The sequence below is a fragment of the Homo sapiens genome, chromosome 5 (assembly GCF_000001405.40).
Source record: "Homo sapiens chromosome 5, GRCh38.p14 Primary Assembly".
NCBI classification, from domain to species: domain Eukaryota; kingdom Metazoa; phylum Chordata; class Mammalia; order Primates; family Hominidae; genus Homo; species Homo sapiens.
The window spans coordinates 160,459,257-160,467,194 of NC_000005.10; the positions used below are offsets into that span (position 1 = coordinate 160,459,257).

The following is a 7,938-nucleotide window of genomic DNA, read 5'->3' on the forward strand; positions in this document are numbered from 1 at the left end:
CTCCCACCTCTTAAATATCTTTGCTCTTGACATTTGCATCTCATAACCACATGGTCTTTTTTGCTCATCTACTGATACTCATGTGATGTGTGATTCACTGTCAATGTGTCTTTTACGTATTAGGCCAGGACTCTAATCATAGCGCCACCATTTACTACGTGTCTGGCCTTGAGCAAGTTGCCTGACACTGTTTCTTCCTCTATAAATAGGAATGGAAGTTCAGTACTTATCATGCACATGTGCTTTGAGGTAAATTATCTAAGAGAATAGATGTGAACTGCCCAGCAAAGTGCCTGGTGGATAGTGGGTGCTCAGTAAATAGTTGCAGCTGTGGTTGAGCAGGCATAGCACAAATGATGGGCAATTTGACAAGTGCATATTGGTATCTGTCAGATGTGAGACACTGTCGGAAGTCTTGGGGTGATTGAAAGCTGTGTGATTGAGAATGATGGTTTCCAGCTTCATCCATGTCCCCACAAAGGACATGAACTCATCATTTTTATGGCTGCATAGTATTCCATGGTGTATATGTGCCACATTTTCTTAATCCAGGCTATCATTGTTGGACATTTGGGTTGGTTCCAAGTCTTTGCTATTGTGAATATCGCAAGGACAAAGAACCAAACACCGCATGTTCTCACTCATAGGTGGGAACTGAACAATGAGAACACTTGGACACAGGAAGGGGAACATCACACACTGGGGCCTGTTGTGGGGTGGGAGGAGGGGAGAGGGATAGGATTAGGAGATATACCTAATGTAAATGATGAGTTAATGGGTGCAGCACACCAACATGGCACATGTATACATATGTAACAAACCTGCACATTGTGCACATGTACCCTAGAACTTAAAGTATAATAAAATATATATATATATATATATATAGAAAGCTGTGTGATTAATGTGCCCCATCCTTCTGGTAGCTCATCACAAAGTTCCAGAAACATTTATTTTGTAGTGGAGTTTCATCAAAATAGGTAAGTATATTGCTGCAAATCATATTTCTTGCCTTCCCCTCCTGGGTAGTTACTGGATTAAAATACACACACACACACAAACACACACACACACTCCACAGAGTTTTATGCATTTGACTTAGTTTCTATGTTTTTCTTATTTCAGATGCCTGGACCATTTTCCATGCCATGTGGTTGGTTTTGGAGGGTACCTTAGAAATTGGGGTGGGGGTTTGAAATAGTTGAAGTAGGAAACAGTGAGGGCAGCTGAAGCTTTATTTGCTTCCATTTTCTTCAGAGAAAATCAAAGGGAGTGTGAGACTCAAGGCTTCATAAAATTCTATTGACTCAGAGAATGCCTGGAATGTAGTCAGTGTCCAGAGAAAGAAATGCAAAGGATTATTCGTCTGAGACAAGTGTATCAATTAGGGATTCTTATGTGCAAATTACAAAAGACCAAACTTAATTGGCTTAAATAGCAGATTATTGTTTTATATAGCTGAGATGTTTAGCAGGAGATTTGACCTCAGGTAAGGCCAGAATTAGGGACTCCGGTGATATCAACAAGAGCTTTCTTTAGTATTGGCTTTATTTTCAACTCTTATCTGGAGCCCTCTGGCAGCTCCAGACTCCCCCTTATGGTAGCCAAAAGGCTATGGTAGCTGCAGGCTATATATTCTTCTTTTTTAAAAAAATTATTTATTTAGAGACAAGGTCTTGCTATGTTGCCCATGAAGGACTCAAACCCCTGGGCTCAGGCAACCCTCCTGCCTCAGCCCACGAGATGCTCAGATTACAGGCTTAATCCTGGCGAGGCCCCATCTTCATATTCAACACTATCCAGGGGAAGAGAGAGGGTTTCTTCTGGAGACTCTTCACAAACCTCTGATTGTTTCTGTCTTATTGGCCTGAATTGGGTCTTGGGTCCTTTTCTGAAACAATCATCACTGTTTGGAAGAATGGTTTAAGCCAGTGGTCCTTAACCTTTTTGGCAGAAGGGACTAGTTTTGTGGAAGACAATTTTCCCATGGACCAGGGCAGGGGGATGGTTTCTGGGTGATTCAAGTGCATTACATTTATTGTGTACTTTATTTCTATTATTATTACATTGTAATATATAGTGAAATAATTATGCATCTCACCATAATGTAGAATCAGTGGGAGCCCTGAGCTTGTTTTCCTGCAACTAGACCGTCCCATCTGGGGGTGATGGAAGACAATGACAGATCATCAGGCATTAGATTCTCATAAGGAGGGTGCAACCTAGATCTCCTGCATGTGCAGTTCACAATAGGGTTCGCGCTTCTATGAGAATCTAATGCAGCTGCTGATCTGACAGGAGGTGGTACTCAGGCGGTAATAGGAGCAATGGGGAGCGGTTGTAAATACAGGTAAAACTTGGCTCATTTGCTCTCTGCTCACTTCCTCCTGTGCGACCTGGTTCCTAACAGGCTATAGACCCATACTGGTCTGTGGCCTAGGGGTTGAATCTGGAAAAGTATTAGGAAGGGAAATGGATGCTAGACAGCCAGTACATAATAACTGTCCACCAGAATAATCAACTGTTTATTTATGGACTACCTCCTACACGTCAGAATGGCTCTAAACATTTTACATGCAGCAACTCTTTTAATCCTAATAAAAGCCCTGTGAGGTACGAATATTTTTTTCTTTTTTCTTTTTCTTTTTTTCTTTTTTTTTTTTGTGATGGAGTCTTACTCTGTCGCCCAGGCTGGAGTGCAGTGATGTGATCTTGGCTCACTACAACCTCTGCCTCCTGGGTTCAAGTGATTCTCCTGCCTCAAACTCCCGAGTAGCTGGGATTACAGGCATCTGTCACCATGCCCAGCTAATTTTTGTATTTTTAGTAGAGATGGGGTTTCACCATGTTGGCCAGGCTAGTCTTGAACTTCTGACCTCAAGTGATCCAACCTCCTTGGCCTCCCAAAGTGCTGGGATTACAGGCATGAGCCACTGTCCCCAGCCTCCAATATTTTTTCTGTCCCCAGGTTGAGGCGACAGAGGCAGACAGAGACCAAGTAGGTGGCTCATTTGGCAAGCAGAAGTGAAGGGATGGCAGCCAAGCAGTCTGCATCCTCCAACCCTCTGGTCACAACACTGTGCCATGGTTTTTACCAGACTCAGGCTGGGAACCACAAGAAGTTCTGCTCTACGTAATCATTTCCCTAATACTATTTGCTGTAAACTGTATTTTCCCTTGAGATGCTTTTGAAAGAAGATGATGTTCCCATATTGCCCTAGATCATTCTACTTGGTTGAAAACTTTTGGGTAGTTTTTTTAATACTTTCATGCTTTTAGAATGCATGAGAAAGACAACCACTGTTTGCCTCAAATTACCCTTAAATGGCACTTATCTCTGCTCTATAAATATTTACTATCTGTTGGTGCATTGGATCTATGTTTCTAGTCTTTTGTCTGTAATGTTTTACTAGCAGCATGGCTAGTGTTGTTTTTCTTCACCCAGAGGTTTTGAAGAGGCAGAGTTTGTAGAGGGGGAAGCAGGTTGGGGGGAAGATGTCTATGAATCCCTGCTTTCTGATCTCCTTTCCTTCCCTTATATTTCCTCCTGCCTCTCTCTCTTCCTTTATCTATCTTTCAAACTAACAAATTCCCCCTTTTTATAAAAGTCTAATATGGTTAATTTTTTTTTTTTTTTGAGATGGAGTCTTGCTCTGTTGCCCAGGCTGGGGTGCCGTGGCACGATCTTGGCTCACTACAACCTCTGCCTCCTGGGTTCAAGTGATTCTCCTGCCTCAACCTCCCAAGTAGCTGGGATTACAGGCATGTGCCACCATGCCCAGCTAATTTTTGCATTTTTAGTAGAGACGTGGTTTTGCCATGTTGGCCAGGCTGGTCTTGAACTCCTGACTGAGTGATCTGCCCGCCTCGGCCTTCTAAAGTGCTGGGATTACAGGTGTGAGCCACTGCGGCTGGCTTTAATTTTTTTTTTTTTTTTTTTTTTTTTTTTTAATGTAGAAAGCACAGATGAGAAAAGGTAAGAAAGATCTCACATAGTCCCATCTTCCTCTTATCTTTTTGGTGTGCTGTTTTGCTTTTTGCACAGATACTAGATGACAACAACAAGCATTTCATAGCATTATTTTCCCTTTCAAAAGACAGCTAGAAGGTTTAAAAAAGTTAAGTATTCTTTAGCATCGTCATTTAAAATAGAGTAAATGTGCTTACGTTGCAGATGTGCCATAATTTAACCAATTCCCAGTTTGGGACAATTAAATTTGTTGCTAATATTTTGATGTTAAAACAGCTTTACTCATGAACATTTTTTGGCTAAATCCTTGCCCACGTTATCGGTGACTTCCTTAGTTTGCTGGGCAAGGATGTGTTCCCTTTGGTAAGTCATGCCTGCCTTTCCTCTGTTCACCTTCCAGGTATGGCAGTCTGCAATGTTAGTATGCACAGAAACTCATGGTGCCCTTGTGTGCCATCATCAGTACTCCAGCCCCTGTGGACTTCTGAAGGAGAGGATGCTGTGCTTCTCTTATAGGCCCAGTTCCTTTGTTTCCACATCTAGCTATGCAGAGATTTCCCATTTACACATTTTCAGTTTCAGGAGCAGAGTCTCAGGATGCAGGAACACAGCTGGTATCATTATTGTTTTTCTGCATATTGATAGTGGCAGCGTAATGTGATCCTTTTCCCTTGCGCAATGCTTTAGATAGCGCTCTGGATGTCCAGCTTGGGAAAAGGCCACATGAGACACACAACAAAGATATTTAGTAGGTGATCTCTTTGCTCTGTCATTTCCTGGGGCTGCTATGAATCATGTATTATGTTTGGCACTTTACTGGCTTTTAAAATAAATGTAATCTTTAATGCAACCTGTCAGGTATTTGTTACTTCTGATTTTATTAAAGAATGGCTTAGAGAATTCAAGTTAGTTTTTCTCAGCAAGAGTCTAAAGCCCAGCTTTTCGACGATTTCTTGTTGCCTTTACAGGTATTTAAACTGGTCAGAGAGATAAGTTCTGCACAAATGAAAATTCAAAAACATGGTATAAGGTATCTCTGCCAGACAGGCTTGTGCTCTGATGAAAGGAGGGAGAAAGTGTGGGCTGTGGCAGGCAGGAGGGTGTCTAATGATTATTATGCTTGATATGCAGCACCTTCGTGGGCCAAAGGGCATTTGGTTACATGAGAGTTTTCTTTGGATATAGGAAGTCCAGCAGGTTCACTTGAACCTGCAGGGACAAGGGAGAGCTGCATCCCGAGTCTGAGCCCCATCTAAACTGCAAGCCAGCTGATCAAGTACCAGCTCTAATCCTTACCCCAACAGCGGCTGTCTATTTGGGGAATTTCCTGAGTTTAAGAACCCCAAGCATCTGAGCTACCGAGTGGGCTGGAAACACAAACGTTGTCGTGACACTTGGGGGTATTTTTTTTATAATTGTATATGTCACAATTTCCTACTACCAGATCAAAGAGTCTGAGGGCCAAAGAATTCAGGTGGAGACTTCCCCACAGTACTCAGGGCATACCTGAGGGTCATCTTTCCAGTCTATATTTTTGTACTTTTGAGCCCACACTGTGACATTTAAGGTGAACAACAGCGAGATTCTCAAGTCCCCTGTATGTGCAACGTAAAACATGGAGCAAAAGCATCCCTTACACATGGGACCAGGTAAAACATAAGGGACTCTAGACACTGTGTGTCTGTGCTTTTCCAGGGCTCATGAAAAAAAAGTGGCTCCAAAATTCAAAAGGAAAACACAAAATTAAAGTGAGTAAATGTTTAATTTAATGGTTCCTCAAGATAACATCATAACACTGAATTGATTTATCAGCTTTAGCTCATATATCAACATCACCACGGAATTATGCAAATTGAGGACATGGTTCTGATATACGCATGTCTCAGTTAACACAGTACAGTAATCCCTTGGTATCCAAGGAGGATTGTTGCAGGACCCTCTCATGGATACCAAAGTTTATGGATGCTCGAGTCCCTTATATAAATGGTGTAGTACTGTGCTGTGCAGAATTGAGGACAGCCTATATGGGTGCATTTTGAAATATCTAATTCAATGGTGGAGACGGGGAGGGAGTGAGGTATTCAAAAGGAAGAGTGATGCTGCTTGGAATTAAAGTAAAAACAATGCAGGCCTCAAAAAGTCTTCATAACAACAATGAAGATTGCTTCCTGAGAGTAGACAACAGCTCCAACCCAGTAATTCAGTTAACTTTTGCATTTATGAGTACCTATGAGAAATGTAGCATAACACTTAGTTGGACTGGGACTCCAAACCAGATAAGACAGTGCTCTTGTCAGCAAAGAAGATTCACATTCCTTCCACACAATTCCTCTCTTTCCAGCATCTTTTTTTTTTTGAGATGGAGTCTCGCTGTGGTCACCCAGGCTGGAGTACAGTGGTGCTGTCTCGGCTCACTGCAACCTCCCCCTCCCAGGTTCAAGCGATTCTCCTGCCTCAGCCTCCTGAGTAGCTGGGATTACAGGCACCCACCACCACACCCGGCTAATTTTTATAATTTTAGTAGAGACGAGATTTCACCATATTGGCCAGGCTGGTCTCAAACTCCTGACCTCAGGTGATCCGCCTGCCTCGGCCTCCCAAAGTGCTGGGATTACAGGCGTGAGCCACCGTGCCAGGGCTTCTTTACTGACTTTTAACTCTAGGAATTTATTTAATTTCTGTGAGTGTCTGTCTTCTGGATTTTTGTCTGTGAAATAGAGACGAATACCCATCTTATCAGCATTAAGTGAGATAATGGTGGTAAAGTGCATAGCACTTTCCCTGGCATGTAATATAAGTTATATAAATGATGTTTAAGCTCTCCTCCACCCTACCCCCCAACAAAATGAAACAAAAATGACACGTATTTTGGTTGTAAAAGGATGAGGCTGAATTCATATATCATCCCTGAAAACCTGCCTCAAGATTTTAGAGTTTATTCCTCCCGAGGCAAAAGGCAGCAGATGGAGGTGCTTGCAGCTGATAGCATATAGCTACTTAAATTCTGGCTCCAAGCATCCACTTTCCTGTTTCTGGAAAACTATACTAATGACCCCCAGGTGTCACAAAGGAGCCCTTAGGAATGCCGAAGTCGAGTTAACTGACTGGAACGGGATAATGTACTTGTTAGCAGAAACCAGCAAGGGTTGAGTTCCTTCTGTTTATTCCATTTGAGTCTAGCCCCCAGTTCATGGATCCAAATAATTTTGGATTTCTTTAAACAGAATTGTCGCTAACTGAATTAGGCAGCTTTTAACCTTTTATAAAAACTTCACAAATAGGTTGCTTACTCCTTAATACAACATGGGATGTGTTAAGAGTGCCCTTAACTCTTCTGGTCACCCTTATGCTTCCTCCCTTCCATCAACCCACCCGGTTTCAGCAGATGCTGGAGTGCTTGAAGGTATGCCCAGAGCCCACTCAGATACCTGGGTCCACCCCAAACCCCCAAGGAACTCCCTTCCAATGGGAGAGAATCTCACACAAGGAAATAGTTTTGATGTGGACCCCTTGAGAGGCAGAGTAATGCAGTGTACCAGGTTCAGAGATTTGGGGACAGGAAACCTCAATTCAAATCCTGGCTCTGATATTTTCTAGCTATGTGAACTCTGGCAAGTTTCGACTCTCTTGGAACCTCGGTTTCCTCATTTCTAATCTAAGAATAGTATCTGCTTTTTAGGGTTCTTAGGAGTATTAAATAAGAACATGTTTTTATGAACAGTGTCTGGTGTATAACAATTGCTCAATAAATATTTGCTTTTAAAAACGTTATCTATAGTAGACGTTCAAACAAACCTTTTGGGAGCTCAGCAAGATAAGCAACAAAAACCTTCAGGGGAGGTCAGGAAAGTGACTACATCTGCCTGGAAGCAAAATCCTTTGAGCTGGTCTTTTTCGGTCCATGAGCACGTGACCAAGGAAAGGAAGCTATATTTTCTCGACTGGGAATTTGAATTTGCAGTTGCACA

At 42.3% G+C, this 7,938-nt stretch overlaps 1 annotated feature.

The window, feature by feature from the left end:
* Positions 3,179-3,258: an enhancer, noted in NCBI's record as "active region_23567". NCBI's record gives its function as "activates an Ori minimal core promoter by ATAC-STARR-seq in GM12878 lymphoblastoid cells {active_cell/tissue: GM12878}" and the evidence as "EXISTENCE:reporter gene assay evidence [ECO:0000049][PMID:35858748]".